The sequence below is a fragment of the Homo sapiens genome, chromosome 12 (genome assembly GCF_000001405.40).
Source record: "Homo sapiens chromosome 12, GRCh38.p14 Primary Assembly".
NCBI lineage: Eukaryota > Metazoa > Chordata > Mammalia > Primates > Hominidae > Homo > Homo sapiens.
The window spans coordinates 27,664,959-27,684,012 of NC_000012.12; the positions used below are offsets into that span (position 1 = coordinate 27,664,959).

Genomic DNA, 19,054 nt, shown 5'->3' on the forward strand with positions numbered 1-19,054 from the left:
GGGTGGATCACCCAAGGTCAGGAGTTAGAGACCAGCCTGACCAACATGGTGATACCACGTCTCTACTAAATACAAAAAAATTAGCTGGGCATGGGGGCAGGCACCTGTAGTCCCAGCTACTCAGGAGGCTGAGGCAGGAGAATCGCCTGAACCCGGGAAGCGGAGGTTGCAGGGAGCCGAGATTGCGCCATTGCACTCCAGCCTAGGCGGCAGAGTGAGACTCAGTCTCAAAAAAAAAGTCAGCAGCATGACCTTTGTAACACGTGGGCCATGGAGGGAAGTGAGCAGTATTGAGAGCCGCAGAAACCAATTCAGAGATTTGCAGTATTCCAAGTGAAAAAATCTAGTAGTTGCTGATTGGGAATATGTTATGGTTGGATTGACACAGTGGTGTAATGAGATAGAGGAGGAGAGTGAAGAAGGGGGAGGAAATCAAGAAAGACGTTTCCAACTAAAGCAACTGGGTAGATGATGGTTCCATTGACTGATATGGGGAAGCCTAGAGAAGGAACATTGGGCTGGGTAAGGGGGATTGAGTTCAGCTTTGAACATGGTGAGTTCAGAAAAACCCTGTAAGACAGGTACATAAAGAGAGTTGTGCATTTTGTTGTGTTTATTATTATTTTATCTGCAGATGGGCCAATTGGCCATCCTCAAATGTGGAGGAAATTTGAAAGTGCTCTTGTTTTTTAGCAATGCATAAATAGAGTTATTTGCTCGCAACGTAAGCACTGGATATAAACAATTCTTTTGGAAGGTCCCCATGAAACACTCAGATTTTGAAGTTTTAATTTTGATGAGTTCACAGAGAAGGAAAATCCTGCTTTGGATCAGGATTTTTGAAAAAAAAAATTTTGTACACAAGGTCTGGCATAATCGATTTTATAAATATCTGAGTGAGCAAATGAACCTCTAATAATCAGTGTTGACTAGCAATTCTCATCACTCAGCATTTTCCATGCCTTCAGAAGAAGAGTCTCTATCCTATGGAATATTGCAAATTTGTAAGTGATTAATTTTTACATATGCCTGGCATTTAAAATGTTGTTTGATTTTATAGAATTTCAACTGTCCAATTCTTACGTTTAAAACCAAGGCAGAAAAAATTAATTCCTGTAATTAGACTATATCGTAAAACATTTGGAAAATAAAGAAAAGAGATAAAAATCACTCGTAATTGCACTGGCATGATCACTATTGGCATTTTTGTGTATTGTTTATTTCTAGCTTTTTTTCCTGTGCATACAAACGTGTAAATACAAGAGGTAGTTTTTAACAATGTACAGCAGCACAGATTTTCTTAAACCCTTGAAAACTATGTTCTGTTCCAATAAAGAGTTGTATAAACAGTGATTTCTCACTAGGAGTTATATTTAGTTAATCCTCATACAATTCTAATAACACTAAATTCTAATAGAATTAGAATAACATTCTAGTGAAACCTAAATTAAGAAGCTGTGGTCTGATTAAGATCTTTAAACAAGTGTATGATTTACCATGTCATATTATTTGTAGATTAGCGTGTTAAGTATCATTTTTTTCTGTTTTTAAAAAAGAATATCTGGCACTGCGCTGTTCACCATTTAATCCCTTTTGATTTCTAGAGATGTAAAAAAAAATTCTCAAGTTTGCAGCTTTGGTGAATATGTGGTTGGTTTTTTCCATCAGACGTTTTTTGCTTTAAAATGGGATAAAAGGATCCTCTTGAGAGATCAAAGATCATCTGTCTTTTTGTTTTTTCTGTTCTCCTATGTTTTTTCAAGAGCACAGCAGTGATGAAAACTAAGTTGTTTAAATGGGACTTTGTTGCTATTCACAATTCGTTTTTTGTACCAGGTATTCTTCAGTTTGAATATTTCTACACTAAAATTTGTAAGCCCCTGATTTTAAAACAAAGTTACAAGAGAGTTGTTGGAAAAAGTTAACTTTTAATTTTCTTTCAATCTGATGAGTCAATGTATCGAGTATGACTTTGTCTGTTAATATCACAGGTAGCCATTGTGGCCCAAGAGCCCTTGGCCTTAGTTTCAAATGCTGTTTCCTAGGTCCTATGTTGTTTTTCAAGGGCTGCCAGGAGAAGCTGACTCTGATTTTTGAGGATCAGAAAAAATTTTATATTCGTTATAATTGGGATTCTTATCTTCTTGTAAAAGTGAAATATAAATCAAAAGCTGCTGTTGTCTTCTCTTTGTTTTATCTTTTCCTAGGCAAAGATGGAGAATATGAAGAGCTGCTCAATTCCAGTTCCATCTCCTCTTTGCTGGATGCACAGGGTTTCAGTGATCTGGAGAAAAGTCCATCACCCACTCCAGTAATGGGATCTCCCAGTTGTGACCCATTTAACACAAGTGTTCCCGAAGAGGTATTAATAGACTTTCAGTATTTCCTTTATGTTGAAGAGACTGTGTTACTGAAAAGTTAAAACACTGCTCATAACATGAAAAACATGGGTTCCTTTCTCAGTTCCATCACCAACTCAAGTGAGGTTATATAAATAAATTGACTTTGGCCACTTCTGATGGTGACTCTGAAAGATAATTGAATAAAATTTTCTTCTGACTTCTTTAGACTTGGAAGAAGCAACTGGAGAGGAGTAAACAGTTATACACTCCTTACTTTGCATCAAACTGGCAGGAAAATCTGTTTGCTGTCTATTGTACACCACACCGAAACTTTGTGGCTTCAATGACAGCATTTCTTTTGCTGATGACTCTGCACTTTAGCAGGGTTCAGCATGAGCATCTCGTCTCTGCTCTACTTGGCATCAGCTGGAGTGGCGTGAAGGCCTGGGCCTGAGTCATCTGAAGGCTAACTCACTCATATGTCTGGTGGTTGAGGCTGGCCTTTGGCTGGGACCTCAGCTGAGGCCCCATTTAGAACAACTACATGTGACCGCTTGGCTTCCTCACAATCCTAAGGGTGAGCATTCCAAGAGGCCCGGGCAACTTTGCATCGCCTGTTATGATTTATCTCAGAAATCACATGGCATCTCTTCTGCTGTAGCCACAGGCCTGCAGCCCACCCAGATACAAGGAGAGGAAACATAGACCCTACCTCTTGATGAACAACTGACAACATTACATTGTTAGGACACGTGGGATGGGAAATATTGGTGCAACCATATTTGGAAAATATAATCTACCCTCTGGCTACACCGCTTTACATCCCTCTCCCATGCAAAATACACTCGCCCCCTTTCCGAAGACCCCTAAGTCCCATTCCAGTGAGGCGTCAGCATCCCAGGATCTTGTCACCCAGACCAGGTCGAGATGTGGGTGAAGCTCCTCAGGTACAGTTCCTTGCGCATAGCTTCTTGAGGACTCTTTCATTGAATTAAAGAGCTGTGGATTTCAAGGACAGTTATCTGCCCTCCACACACCCATACGATGGTTGGATAGGCATAATGTAACTGCAGTAGCCACTCCCATTAAAAAGGGGGAGCTGGAAGGCTCACAGGTGTCACCAGTCCATAGCAATTCCAAAATCCAGCCAGGCACATGTTGCCAATCCTCTGGGCTATTGGCTCTTCCCTCTAAGTCATGCTTCCTTTGCCTATATTTGCAGATGAGTAGTTTTCTCAGTTTTGTGCCTGCAGAAGTGCCCAAAGATATCCAAATTCATCTCTTCATTTTCCATTATCTCTGTTCCTTTGAGTCTAATTTAGTGTAATACTTTAAACATTTAGAATTTCATACGAATCATGTTATAATTCACTGCATTACAGAAGAACACATCCACAGCTATCTTCACCATAAGCCTATCTCTAGCTAAGTTTCCCTGTAAGGCTGCAGTGGGACATCCCATTATTTTTAGAGCCTTTCATCATTTTTCAGAGGTTCAATGAGACCGCACTACTGTAATCTTCCTAAGGTATTTTTTTTTCTATTTTTATTTGATTCTAGTCTAGTCCATCCTGAGGTCTTAGCAAAGGGTTTTACAGCCACATCCTTGGCTCACCTGAAGACCATGTTTTCCTGATAGCCCTTGTGCTTGATCTTTGCCCTGAAACCATTTCTTAATTTTAGTGTAATTTTTTTTTGTCTAGAAAGACCGGGAATGGGAAATAGTTTCATTGTTTAAACAATCTTGGCTTCCTTATTTTAGCAGTTCCTTTTTTGGTCATTTCTCTTCTCACATTTTACTATAGGTAGTGAGAAGAAACCAAGTGGCATTTTTACTTTTATATCTGTTGCTGATAATTACACAACAAGAAGATGAAATTTGAATGCAATGAAAATGAATTCAAGAAGAAAACATTGAAAATTTCTCACTTAAATGTAGGAGAGGGCTGAAATATTTCATTAATCAAGGAATTAGTTAAGGAATAAGAAATACTTTGGTGGAAAATATCCCCTAATTGTTAGATATATATTTATATCGAAAGCAAAAATAATATTTGACAGTCAACGAGTGTGCTGCAGTTACAGAACTAGTGTTACATGTAGGGTATATCCAAATAATCCCATATCCTTTTAGAAAAAGTCTTTGCTATGTGAATTGTAGTTTTAAGTTTGTAACAAGAATGGTTTGATGAGGGTTGAGGGAGTTCAGCGACATTTTTAAAGAAAAGCCAGGAGGGAGATCTGAGTTTGGAGTTAAAGTCTTAAAGTTTGAAAAAGATCAAGAAAATTGATCTGTTAGTATAGTTATATTTTCCCCATGATTAGGAATCTCAAGAGACAAATGAACTTCAGGAAACAGTGATGATGGCTAAATAAGTTGCCCAGGATTCATCATAAAGATTCAAACTGAAAAGATTGATAGTTAAATAATCTGCTACTTTATAATAATTCGACTTCACATTTTATAACCTTTTATTGTGTTAAAGGATGAGACCACCACTGAATAACATAAACAAAAATCACAAAGCTGAATGTATTGCTTACTTAAGTAAGTGAGTGTTCCCGGTCCAGTACATTCTCTTCTAGCTGATCATATGTAGGGTTTTTGAGATGGTTGGAGCTCAAGGGTTGGTGGACTTTCTGAGGCAAGTGAGAGTCGACATCCACTGTAGATGTGTGGTTACTAAGGTGAGACTGTTGCTGACTGGTTGGCGTGTAGAAGGGTGTTCACTGGTGTGAGTCTTTATCAGGCAGCTTTCAGAGGTGAAGAACTGTCACTGGTTGACTGGCAGGAGTTCATTGTGGCAAACTTTGTTCATTTTTTTTTTTACTGAAATATTTTTCATTTATTCATTTATGATGTGGCCTGCAATCTAACTGCTCTACAGTTGTAAAAAATTATTGAAAACTGAAGTATTAAAATTATTTCACAGACTCCTTCCTTAGGATGCACAAAGCATTTGTTTGAGAAAATGTATTATGCATTTTATATGTTGCTGTAATATTATTATTATCATTAAGCAAAGTGTTTTAAGTGGTAGCCACAAAGTCCATTGTAATTGGTTTTAATTACACTTTTCATCAATTATGTTAATTGAAATTAGTCAACTAGTACACACATAGAATAATAATTAACTGGCTTGACCAATGTTCCATATAAGATTAGTAGTAGAAATTAAAGTAAAAATGGAGCTTTTCGCTGGGCACAGTGGCTCATGCCTGTAATCCCACTTTGGGAGGCTGAGGCAGGAGGACTGCTCGAGCACAGAGTTCCAGATTAGCCTGGGCAACATAGGGAAACCGTGTTTCTACAAAAAAATTTTAAACATTAGCCAGCTGTGGTGGCGCACGCCTGTAGTCCCAACTACTTGATAGGGCTAAGTTGGGAGGATCACTTTAGCCCAGAAGTTCAAGGCTGCAGTGAGCCATGATCGCAGCACTGTACTTTAGTGTGGATGACAAAGTGAGACCCTGTCTCAAAAAAAAAAAAAAAAAATAATAATAATAATAATAATAGAGTGTTGAAAGCAAAACGTGTTACCCAAATCTTACAATAAATCATTGCAACCTGCAGGGGTAGGCATTGTCATTCTTATTTTACAGAGGGTGAAACTGATGGATGCCTAGCGAAGTTATTTGCTAAGATCACCGATCACTTAGGCAAGTGTGTCAGAACCAACATTTCATCCAGGGCTTAAGGTTGTTAGGATTTATTATTACTAGCTGGGTACAGTGGCACACGTCTATAACCTTAGCTACTCAGGAGGCTACGGCAGGAGACTGCTTGAGCCGAGGAGTTCAAGACCATTCTGGGCAACATAGCAAGACGCCGTCTCAAAAAAAAGAAAAAAAAATTACTATTAACTTACTTAATGGTATACCGTCTTATTCACAATATTCAGTGTCTTATTCAGAACCAAGTTAAAAAGTTTCCTTCCTCCAGAATGATTTCCTTGATTAGTACTCCTTCTATATAGATGTTTATATTCTGAAATCATTTTATACAGTTCTGAACACTGATTATGAGATTTTGTCAATAGACCGTTTAATTTTCTTATGTTTATTTAAATTACTCTGTGGCTTGTGTTTTGTTTTGATTGATTGATTGATTTTTTGTAATTACATTACAGTTCCATACTACCATCTTGCAAGTTTCCATCCCTTCATTATTGCCAGCAACTGTAAGCATGGAAACTTCTGAAAAATCAAAGTTGACTCCTAAGCCAGAGACTTCATTTGAAGAAAAGTATGTCATTTATTAACAGTGCAATATAAATGTTCAAAAAAGTAGATCAGCCAAAGACAAGGATGTATTGCATTTATTTACAGACACAATTTTTACCTAGAGAAGCAAGAAACTGCAAGATGTCCACTGGGGGATCTGTAATCAGTTCTGTATTATGGAAATAAAAGGTGTGAAGCAGGAAATAATAAGAGATCAGGCTGGGGAGGTAGGGTTGTCAGGTTAGAAAGAGATTTTAAGGAACTTGGCCAAGTGTGGTGGCTCACGCCTGTAATCTCAGCACTTTGGAAGGCCAAGGTGGGCAGATCACTTGAGGCCAGGAGTTTGAGACCAGCCTGGCCAACATGGCGAAATCCCGTCTTTACTGAAAATACAAAAATTAGCTGAGTATGGTGGCACACGCCTGTAATCCCAGCTACTCAGAGGCTGAGGCACAGGAATCACATAAGCCCAGGAAGCGGAGGCTGAAGTGAGCCGAGATCACATCACTCTACTCCAGCCTGGGTGACAGAGCGAGACTCTGTCTCAAAAAGAAAAAAAAAAAAGTTTAGGGAACTTGGATTTTTATATCCGAGGTCATAGGTAACTGTCAAAGGATTGTAAACTAAATAGTCACAGTCACGGGCTGTAAGTGTGTTTGAAGGATGGGTCTGAAGGGGACAGGAAAAGGATACAGTAGTTTGTCTCTAAGAAAATAGAATGTTTTGCCAACATATTCCCAGATTGTCTAGTCTTATTTTAGGCCAAATAAAATAGGACATTTAAAAAAATAGAAATAGCTTCCTTTGCATAATTTTTTGTTTTTGACTTATCTGTTCACTTAGAACATATATGGTCTTTTATTCGTGAAGTTAATAAATACCTTTTGTTCTTTACATTTTAGTGATGGAAACATAATCCTTGGTGCCACTGTTGATACCCAACTGTGTGATAAACTTTTGTAAGTTACATTTTATTGAATGTGAAAAATGTGATTGAGGCTAGAGAAAGAGAGTTCTGTTATACTAACAATTACTAATATTAACAGCAAATGACCGAGGCTGTTAAATTACTGAATAAATCAATGTAGCTATAATAATTGGGTGGGGGTGAAGGTGGGGAGCTGTAAGTTTACAAAGAAATAATTTCTGATTTGCTATTATCTCATGCCAGGGTTTTGCAGATCTCATGCCGGGGTTTTGCAGGTCTCTAGCCTTGCTTCATCAGTTTTCATTTGAAGTTCAATGCTTTTAATTCATTTTTGCACTGACATATTTTGAGTCCAGTGGGAAGGCATCACAGGGAATGATGTGATGCTTGGAAAGCTGAGATGGGTTTTTTTGCACTTTCAGTTTTATGAACTGACCTAATATCTGTGTTTATCCAAGTTAAAGTCTGGATTAAATTAGGAAAGTCTATTTTCAGAGCAGTACTCAAAAATGAGATCTTTTCTTTCTCACTATTATCTTTTACTTTATTTGGTAGTTGATACTTCTGGCAATACACCTAAATACAGAAGAAATGCCTTTTGAAAGTTTGTAAATGTGCATATTTATATTATTCTGTTTCGTAGAGGCAAATACATTACTTCTCTGTCACTCTCTCTAAACTGGTCACATATCTCTACCTTCAAGTTTTTAGTAACACCAGCTCTATATAATTGAATATTAATTATGTGAAAGAGAAAGTCTCTGGATGTTTATAGTGTCTCTTTGCCTTCACTAGGATAGCAAATGAATTATTATGGGCAGCATTAGGGATTCCTCTACTATGCTTTAATTAGAACTATAAAATGAATTGCTTTGCCAGACTCAGAAATGTGATTCCCTTGTGAATTGAAAAGTGAAACTTCCATTCTTTATTTTAATTAGAAGGATTAGATATAAATAGTACGTGAGTATTTTTAAAGTTCCTAGTACATGCAGAGGATGCAGCACTAGTCCATGGAAAACACTGCTTTATTTTCGAATATTGACATCACAAGGCTAGTCCTAAGTGCTTTTCCAGCTCTTCTAACATGTGCAGAACAGTTAGAATTATTGGCAGGACAGTTAATCACCCCTGCTTTTAAAAGAACTAAATGTTGTCATTTAGTGAAGCACATAAGTGACTGCCTGATTCCAGATTTTCTTTTATTGCCAGGATTCAACCCACACGCAATTTTAGTTTCTTTCCAAGATGTTTTACTTAGAAACAGTGGCACTGGAGCCACTTATTATTAATTGTTATTACTGTTATTTTTAGAACTTCAAGTCTGCAGAAGTCCAGCAGCCTGGGCAATCTGAAGAAAGAGACATCTGATGGGGTGGGTTCTGTGTTTTTTGTTTTTTTTTGTCTGTTATCCTGAGAAAAAACTATTTAGGGATCTTCATCTTTTCCCTTTTTGCAAATAAAACTCTTATGAAGAGCTTGTGGTTTTTAGTGGAAAATTATTAGATGTTAGGTTTAACAGTAAATATTAAGAAGTATGAATATGAAGGATTGAAAATAGTATGTAAAACCAAAAATGGAGACTTTAATAAAACATTTTGGAAAATAAACAATACTAAGATTTTGTAGCTTAGAAGTAGATATAAAATTATTTTAACTTATGGAGTTGTATGTGACAAATTCAGAATTATACAAAGGATTTCCCTAACAACCTTAAATATTGTTATTGCTTTGAACAGGAAAAGGAAACTATTCAGAAGACTTCAGAGGTAACTTTTTGTCCAAATTACAATGCAAAAATATTTCTACTTCCATTACATGTAAATTGCTTAAATGTCTCCAGTAGATAAAAACTTTCAGAACCTCTAGAACATTATGCTAAATGAAGCCAGACACAAAGTTCACATATTATATGATTCCGTTTATGTGAAACATCCAGAACAGATAAATCTATAGAAATAGAATGCAGATCGGTGGTTACCAGTGGTAAGAGGTGGGAAAAATGGGGAGAAGCTGTTTAAGGGTAAGGGGTTTTGCTTTCGAATGATGGAAATGTTTTGGAAGCAGGTAGAGGTGGTGGTTGCACAACATCGTAACATACTAAATGCCACTGAATTGTGCACTTTAAAATTGTTAATTTTGTTATGAATTTCACTTCAGTAAGTTATTAAAAAACAAAACCATAGTCTCTCAGTCATGCTACTTAATGTTCCTAATGACCATAACTGAGCTTCCTTAGACCTCCCCAAAAGCCCTTCTTAGATTACCATTAGATTATACACCCGGTGCCCATCTAAAGCAAACATTTTGGTATGTTTAAAGATGTCGTCAACATGTGCTCAATTCTTCTTTCCCCTGATTTTTTTTTTTTTTTTTTTTTGAAATGGTATCACTTTGTCGTCCAGGCTGGAGTGCAGTGGTGCAATTATAACTCACTGTAGCCTCGATTTCCTGGGCTCAGGTGATTTTCCCACTTCAGCCTTTCAAGTAGCTGGGATTACAGGCGTGCACCACCATACTCGGCTGTTTTTTTTTTTCGTTTGTTTTTTTTTTTATTTTTTATTTTTTAAGTACAGATGAGATCTTGTCATGTTGCCTAGGCTGATCTTGAACTCCTGAGCTCAAGTAATCCTCCCACCTCTGCCTTTCAAAGTACTGGGATTACAGGCATGAGCCACTGTGCCTGTTCTGTCCTCTGATTTTCTGTCATTAACCTTGTGAAGATTACAGCCTGATAGGCTACCTCCAGATCCAGTCTCTTGACTGTTGGCTCTTAGTGCCTGAGTCATATGTGGATAGAATTGACAAAGCAGCCAGTGGTGACAGCTATAATTAAAATCCTTGTTGTCTTTTCAGTTCAATAAATGGTTAAATGATTTTGACGTCATTGTTGAGCCATGGATGATAATATCACTAAATTGTGCCATCTGTAAACTTTTGGTTTCTATGAGCTGTAGATATATAGAGTAAAATAACCACCTAAAATACCTATATCCCCTCACCCTTTTCTCTGCTTCTGTAAAAAAAGAAGCAGAGGGCAAGAATTATTTCTACTTCTGCAAAAAAAAGAAGCAGAGGGAAAGAATAGAGAAATGAAAACAAGAAGACAAAAGTATCTTTGTATAAAGGACACCCACTTCAATAAATGGTGCTGGGAAAATTAGATATCCATATGTAGAAGAATGAAATTGGACTTCACCTGTCACCAAATCAACAAAAATCAACTCAAGATGGATTAAGAACTTACATATAAGACCAGAAACTATAAAACTGCTAGATGAAAACATAGGGGAAACACTTCATGACATTGATCTAGGCAAAGCATCTTTGTATAAATACTAAAATAATATACTGTGTTACAGCTGGCTCTAATTGCCCATTCAAAGAACCAAAAAGCTCAAAATAAAGTTGCTCACTGTGCCTTCATTTTCTTATTCTTTGAGGAGAATATTTAAAATAACTGGAATAGAATCTCCTTATACTGCTGGTATAGAAGTTTGAACTAATGCCTGCTTTGTAGAATAATTAATATTATATTAGGCTTCTATTGACAAAGTTATAATATAAGAATATGAACTGTATTATAGCTAAATCCGTGACATAATTGTTAGAAAAGTCAGAAATCTGCTGCTATTATTCTGGTTATGTAATGTCTCCATGTCTTTTGAGGAATGAGGCAAACAAAATTTAAGAATTTTTGTATCCTAAATATTTAAAGCCCTAGACATATCGATTCTAGATTAGTGATGAACATGTTTTCCTTGTTGCTTTTGTTGTTGTTTCTTAAGTAGCTTTCAGAATTGATTTTTTTTCAACTTCTGATAAGGCATTTGACATTGGTGATCAATGTATTAGTTCAGTTATTCTTTTGAATAAACTCATGGATGTGGCGTGAGTGAGTATTTGCTGTTAGCCTGGCATGTGCTGAGGATGCTGCACCTGAGAGCTGTTTCACTATTCTTATTTGCCTCTCAGGACAGAGCTCCGGCAGAAAGCAGGCCATTTGGGACCCTTCCTCCCAGGCCCCCAGGGCAGGACACCTCCATGGATGACAACCCCTTCGGCACTCGAAAAGTCAGATCTTCCTTTGGCCGGGGCTTTTTTAAAATCAAAAGTAACAAGAGAACAGCAAGTGCACCAAACTTAGGTACGTATGACCAAAATGCCTTTGCCCTAATTCTTCCACAAGGAGGAAAAGAGCAGTGTCTTCCCTTCCCTTACTCTTTCATTCATTGATTCATTTCTCTTTCTCAGAAACGAAGGTGAATGACTTAGGGGAATTTAGCAAAAAATGCCTCCGTGGATTTAATTTAGTGTTGTGAAGATATATAGACTCTCACCCTGCTCTCTCCTGTGGTATAAACTTAGCGGAAAGACCTAAAATCATGATTCCCTTTGACTTCATCATGGAGTTTCCCATCTGTTGTGATAGTGGATAAATTAACATTGACGTTGAGCCTGTGTGTAACATCAGAAGCACTGTGTGCCGCATGCCTCTCCTCCACGGTGTGTATTTGGCGAGGAGGAGTCTGATCTGCATTTCATTTTGTCATCTCTGTGTTCTCTCCATTGGGCTGCGTGTGATTGTGTGCGTTGTTGGGATATCTGAAGATCGTAAACGAAGTGCCAGTGCACCCACCCTAGGTATTGTACCCCTGCATGCCAGCCTTCACCAGCACTGTGCTCCAAACCAATCTAATCCCTGCTCTTGGCATCTGTGATCTCTAGAAAGCGATCTGACAGCAATCAGAAAATGTAGTTCTCTATTCCGGAGTGTTCTTTCCACCTTCTGCTAAAAAGGACTCTGTAGAGGCTTTGCTTCCAAGCCTAAATGCTGTTTTAACCAATACTAGTAACACTCACTGTGTGAATAGCTTTGAGAGGACCTAGACGTGTGCAGCATCCCTCAGAGTGCAGGGCAGGAATGTCCTGGCATTGTACATTGCAGCTCTTTCAGCCTTGAAGTGCATATTACCACACACTAACTCCCAGGTCCTTGCAGTCCGTTCTCCATGCTTACATTTCCCCCAGCCTCCAAAAAGAAATTTTTTTGGCCATATAGGGAGGTTTATAGAAGACATTGAATATTATAGTTTTAGGCTTACTTCTCTTAGGGGAACATTCTTCTGACGTTTTATTACTTTGAAGATGGAGATAATATTTAGTGATGACAGAAGCAACTTTACTTGATATCTGAGGCGTTACCCCCCAAAGTGATTTTAGAAGAGGGGCAGCTCAGTTTTCCTCTTTGTAAGGCAGGGGACAAATGGGGAAAAAAGTTCTCAAAATAAAAAAGAGAAATATGGTAGTTTTAAGATGAGGATAAGCTAGGCAGCATTTTCAGGGGCACCTGTAGCCATCGTGGTTGAAGGATTTGAATTGGGAAAGTTCCTTTGGGTTTTTCCAAAAGGTGCTGTTACCTTGTATAGATATCCACCTATCTATTCACATGGACCAGCAAACGGGACTTCTCTCTCTATCGATATAAATGTCTAGAATGAACACTGGATGCATAAAATAAACTGATCTGTTCAGACAACTATTTTCAAATAGTTTTTTTTTGCATCTTTCTTAGAAGAACTGTTTTGTTAATGCTAAGAGGTAAATGCTGCTTATTATAACCTATAATCACAGCTCTGCTTTGTAGAAAAATCAACTTTCTGCAACTCATAGATCTTGCTGAAACACTGTTCTTGTGATTTTAGTACAACTTTTACTTTCTTTTATAAAGTATAAAATCTCACACTGAAGACAACAGTAGCCCTTGTGTTTGCTAGTATGGGATTGTCCACTAAGGGACAGCTAAAAGAACTGAAATAGTTAATGCTTGGAGATCTGAGAGTGGCAACTGTGGATGTGATTCTTTTAAGGTAAAATCAACAGGCACTTACTTTATGTCAAAAGAAAAATTAGGCATATCCAGTTCATTCTTCTCTCAGTGCCTAGGATTTAATAGATTGGAATACATTTCAAAAATAAAGAATTGCTTGAACTGGGTAACTGATTTGATGTAAATGCCAAAGGAGAAGGAGTAAAAGGAAAATGACATAGAGTCTGAGCTAGAGTAACAGGGACAGTATTAATTAATATTAACCAAATATCAAATAAGAACATTTAAGAGACGAGGCCAGGCGTGGTGGCTCACGCCTGTAATCTCAGCACTTTGGGAGGCCGAGGTGGGTGGATCACGAGGTCAGGAGTTCAAGACCAGCCTGGCCAAGATGGTGAAACCCTGTCTCTACTAAAAATACAAAAATTAGCCAGGTGTGGTGGCGGGTGCCTGTAATCCCAGCTACCTGGGACACTGAGGCAGAGAATTGCTTGAACCCAGTAGGCGGAGGTTGCAGTAAGCCGAGATCATGTCACTGCACTCCAGCCTGGGAAACAGAGTGAGACTCTGTCTCAAAAAAAAAAAAAAAAAAAAAAAAACATTTAAGAGAGAAAAAGACTCTCGGGGAAATTGGATGAGTTTGTGAAGTCCCAGATGTCCCGACACACTGAATTGGGAATATCACAGGCATTTAGATACAGAGCCTAGAGAGAGAGATTAGGCCCAGAGATTCTGATCCTCTAGAGGGCATTTAGAATATAATCTTAAAGTGGCATGGGGGAAGAAAAAAAAGCAGGGGTGCTACAGCAAAGACACTATCAGATGACAGATGTAGGAGAGTGGTCATGTCAAGAAGCAAAAGGAGATGATTTTGAAGGATGTAGCAGGTAATCAACAGTACCACGTGCTATGGAAAGATTGGGAATAATTCCATTATGAATTGAAATCACTCAAGGAAAGAATGTGGCAATCCTATCACATTCTTTTAATCTCCAAAGGGCTTGTAATTTTATTAAGTTTACACACAGTAAACTATGGAGCAGAACGTATATGTGTGTTCCATTTCTAATATTTACAAGGTGCTCTTTGTAAGTCACTGATTATAGACCAACAGAAGAATTCTTAACAGTTCTAGAACCAAGAAGATTAACATCATGTTTATTCCATATTTTAAAATTCATTGTCTGCATTCTGCTCTTGGAGTAGCTGAAACAGAAAAAGAGACAGCAGAGCACCTAGATCTGGCTGGTGCTTCTTCTCGGCCAAAAGATTCACAGAGGAACAGTCCCTTCCAGATACCGCCTCCATCTCCAGATTCCAAAAAGAAATCCAGAGGTATCATGAAACTCTTTGGAAAGTAAGTAAAGCAGTAAACAAGTGGAATGGGCCCTGTCTTACATGTTGCTTAAAAGTGGCTGGACATGGGTATGGACTTTGTAAGGCCTTTGTATTCCTCTTATGGAAGGAAGTTTGGATTGTGATGTGGGATTTATTAACTCATTGGGTCTTAGTTAAAGTTTAAATTTAAATGTCTATGTTAACAACACAAAGAGGATTAGTTCCAGTAGGTGCACTAGTTAAAAATGTTCTGATTAACAAGTCTAAGGCCTCCTCAGGTCTAATACTGGCCATGTGTGTTGTCTTCTTTAGACTTAGGAGAAGTCAATCAACTACATTCAACCCAGATGACATGTCTGAGCCTGAATTCAAAAGAGGAGGGACAAGGGCAACCGCGGGGCCCCGATTAGGTTGGTCTCGAGACTTGGGACAGTCTAACAGGTAAGAAGAGCCAACTGATAGACTTTTGCATCTCTACCAAGCATCATAGCCTCATGAGTCCTGCAGTATTAGTACTGTCATTGGGTTAAACAAAGTCATTGCTTAATGCTGTGCCTAATGAAAGGGGCCATCATCTTTAGAGCCGTGCAATTTGTCAATGGTTGATGAACAAACAGAAGGTGAGGGCTGTGCGAACTAGGGGAGAGGCCAGAGCTAAAGTGTCAGCAGCATCTGTGTTAGAATGGCTCTCAGACTTAAATTTTACGTAGATGGTAATTACAAGTACTCTAAAGCATAACTTTGGAAAGATGGGATAGCATAGTGGTTAAGAGTATGTTCTAGAATCAGACCACTTGGATTTGCTTTCTGGCCTTACCACTTTCTACCAGCTGGGTGACCTTGAGCAACAGCTTCCACACCCTGTGCCTCAGTCTCCTCATCATCATAATTAGTACCTACCCCAAAAGCTGACCATGAAGGTTAAATAAGTTAATATGTGTTAAATATTTGGCAGATAATAACTACTCAAGAAACATTAGCATGTAACAGAATCTATGAAAGCACTTAAAGACAAAAATGCTATCAGAATCCTTGTATTTATCAGGACTATATAATATTTTATCCATTAAGATTCTAAGAACTGCTCTGACACTCTTAACCAAAGTTTAGGGCTGGCTTAGAACTACTACATTGACTCACTGTGCATAAGAGGGTGGGGTTGGCAAACATAAAGTACAAGACATTGATACCAAATCTTTTAACAGTATAATAGACTGACTAGAAACCCTTTACATATAGCCCCTCCCATACAGGTGGAACACTGGACATAGGTTACATCAAGGAGGAAACTCTCTTTGGCCTTCTTCAAATACCAAACAGTTTCATTTGCCATATGTTGTCTTTGAACACAGTAGAGCTCCTTGTACTATTTAAAAAAAACCATTCATCTTCCCCTCCGCACCCTGCCCCCACCCCGGAACAAGAACACTATTTGTGTATCTAAGTAAAAGAAAACAGGAATTTTGCTTTGATTGTTTCCTACACTCAGTGACAACATATTGCCCTCTTCTCATTGGTTACCATATGGAAAGAAACCATAATTCTGCTAAAGTTAGTTCAAATTAGACTTAAGTTTCTTTCAGTCCAACTGAGTTTCCTGTTTGGGAATCCAATCTTCAAACAACATTGGTTAAAACTGATACAGTGACTTGTGTTTGTCCAATTTGGTCTTTTTCTGTAGCACTTGTTCTTGCTCTATCACGTTAAATCTTTTGTGGTTTCATTTGAAATGAAGACAGTGGTCTTAGAAGATAACTTTCAACCAGTTGTTCCTCCAATGTATACTAAAAATTAAGCTTTTCATGGTCAAATGTGTATCACCAGGGAATTTCCATGTCTATTGAATGTATAGTTGTTTAAAACTAATGATAAGCCACAGGATTGGCTTTGGATTATTTTTCATGCAATTACTCATTTTCCTGTAGTGACTTGGATATGCCATTTGCCAAGTGGACCAAGGAGCAGGTTTGCAATTGGCTGATGGAACAGGGCTTGGGCTCGTACCTGAATTCTGGCAAGCACTGGATTGCATCTGGCCAAACGCTTTTGCAGGCTTCTCAACAAGATCTAGAGAAGGTGACTGCTTCTCTGTTTTGTTCACACAATGGATACTGAGAAGAAAACAGTATGAATGTAGGGTTGTTTTATAGTCCAGAAAGGGCCATGAGTGAAGCCAGTAAAAACTCTGTAAACAAAAGTTTGGGTTTTCAATTGCTTCATGCTTCTTTTTTCTGGTGGTCTTGGGAGGACCTGGTCTTGATGATTCCTTATGGAACACTTAAGCCATTGGGCATTTTAATGAAAAAGAATTACATAAGCATAATTCAGTTCATATTTCTCGAAATCATTGTTTGGCTTTATCATTGGCCTGTTTTTCTCAGTGTAAGATATGCAATTAACTTCACTTTGCAAAAGAAAAAAAAAAAGCACCCTACAATTTGTGTCTAATTATTTAACATTTCTTCCAAATTATTTAATATTTTGTACAAAATAAGAGTCAAATTCTTTTTATGCATGCTACAGTTCCTAGCTTACAAAGAAAATGAGTCACTAGGGAATGCCTAACACACCCCTAAGATAATTGTGGTGGTCTTGGCTTTTCAGGGACCTTTTGTTCAACAACACTTTACTAGCCCAAGTTGGGATTGTAATTCAGTATTGAATTGGGTCTTTAATGCTAGCTTCATTTTGGAGAAATTTGCATCCTTTGCCAGTGGCACCCAGCCTATACAGATAGAATTATAAAGTCAATGTTTATTGTTTCAGGAACTTGGAATCAAGCATTCACTTCATCGAAAGAAACTCCAGCTAGCACTCCAAGCCCTGGGATCTGAAGAAGAAACCAATCATGGGAAGCTGGATTTCAACTGGGTCACTAGTAAGAAGTTTTTATTCTAACAAAATGAAATAATTATATACATAGTTGCTTTTTCTTTTTAATCACAAGAACAGATGTTTTGTGGCATGGTAGCAACACTGGCCTCTCTCTTTTAGGATGGTTGGATGACATTGGCCTCCCTCAATATAAGACCCAGTTTGATGAAGGACGGGTTGATGGTCGAATGCTACATTACATGACTGTTGTAAGTGACTCACTCCTGGGGTTTGGGGGAGGAAAACTTTTTTTCTCTGAAAAACACAGGAATTGAGTAAGCCAAACACAGTGTTTTCAGTGATTCCACCAGAGTTTGAAGCTGTTGCTTGAACTTGAGGAGAGTGGCAGGCATATTTCCCATGAGGCTGAAGTTGTAGCATTTGGTGATTGTGATTGAACAGGCTTGGGATAATTTGAAACCCCAATGTAAGCTAAGTGAAGCCTAATTTAAACTAAGCTCTCCAGAAGGTTGATTTTATATGTAATACATTCAACAAAGTAAACACTGAAGTGTACACTTTGAATGGGTACATTTTATGGTATGCAAATTATATCTCATAAAGATTTTTTTTGTATTATTTCTTTTGAGATGGAGTCTCGCTCTGTCACCCAGGCTGGAGTGCAATGACGTGATCTCAGCTCACTGTAACCTCTACCTCCCAGGTTCAAGCCATTCTCCTGCCTCAGCCTCCCGAGTAGCTGGGATTACAGGCTCACGCCACCATACCCAGCTAATTTTTTTGTATTTTTAGTAGAGACGGAGTTTCGCCATGTTGGCCAGCTGGTCTCAAACTCCTGACCTCAAGCGACCTGCCTGCCTCGGCCTCCCAAAGTGCTGGAATTATAGGCATGAGTCAACACGCCCAGCCTAAAGATATTTTTTAAATAGAATGTAGAATTTTTAAGCCCAAGCTATCTCTAAGTTATGGGTTTCTATGTGCAATGACCATTTGGAAGAGGCCACCCTTTTGACCTGACATCTTCAAGGACTTGTCTTCTCCTTTCCACTCTGGACAACTGTTACCTGAAACCCTATCACCCGTCTCACTTCAGCCTAGTTCTGCTACAGCAGGAGTTACTGGGGTTAAAGGAGGAGGGAGGAAGGCTAGACTTCTACTCTGGTTCCTTCATTATTGTACATTTCTAGCCCTCCAGCCAATGTGTAGGACTATTCCCTGCTTTACAGCAGTGAGAAAGATGGATTCCAGGAGAACTTTGTTTTAGGTTCCATACCACTATTAATGTTCTACTTAAAATTCTCTTTATTTATTTATTTTTATTTTTATTTTTATTTTATTTTATTTTATTTTGAGACGGAGTCTCGCTCTGTCGCCCAGGCTGGAGTGCAGTGGTGCGATCTCGGCTCACTGCAACCTCCCTCTCCTGGGTTCATGCCATTCTCCTGCCTCAGCCTCCCAAGTAGCTGGGACTACAGGCACCTGCCACCATGCCTGGCTAATTTTTTGTATTTTTAATAGAGACGGGGTTTCACCATGTTAGCCAGGATGGTCTCGATC

General features: G+C 38.4%; 1 protein-coding gene across 50 annotated transcripts in view; it reads left to right on the plus strand.

Annotated features, from left to right (window-relative positions):
* Positions 1-19,054, plus strand: part of PPFIBP1 (PPFIB scaffold protein 1) — a 171,359-nt gene that overhangs the window by 140,753 nt on the left and 11,552 nt on the right. For 15 of the 50 annotated variants that reach the window (XM_017020056.3, XM_047429753.1, XM_047429754.1 and 12 more), the window contains 12 exons: positions 2,208-2,362; positions 6,473-6,588; positions 7,469-7,525; positions 8,809-8,869; positions 9,234-9,263; positions 11,470-11,641; positions 12,106-12,138; positions 14,531-14,681; positions 14,975-15,103; positions 16,588-16,738; positions 17,429-17,540; positions 17,657-17,745. In XM_017020056.3, coding sequence (XP_016875545.1) covers positions 2,208-2,362; positions 6,473-6,588; positions 7,469-7,525; positions 8,809-8,869; positions 9,234-9,263; positions 11,470-11,641; positions 12,106-12,138; positions 14,531-14,681; positions 14,975-15,103; positions 16,588-16,738; positions 17,429-17,540; positions 17,657-17,745 — 1,256 coding nt within the window. Of the gene's footprint in view, positions 1-2,207; positions 2,363-6,472; positions 6,589-7,468; positions 7,526-8,808; positions 8,870-9,233; positions 9,264-11,469; positions 11,642-11,748; positions 12,139-14,530; positions 14,682-14,974; positions 15,104-16,587; positions 16,739-17,428; positions 17,541-17,656; positions 17,746-19,054 lie in introns of those variants that run through there. The other 35 variants (XM_047429758.1, XM_047429760.1, XM_017020059.3 and 32 more) reach the window with 5 other exon arrangements.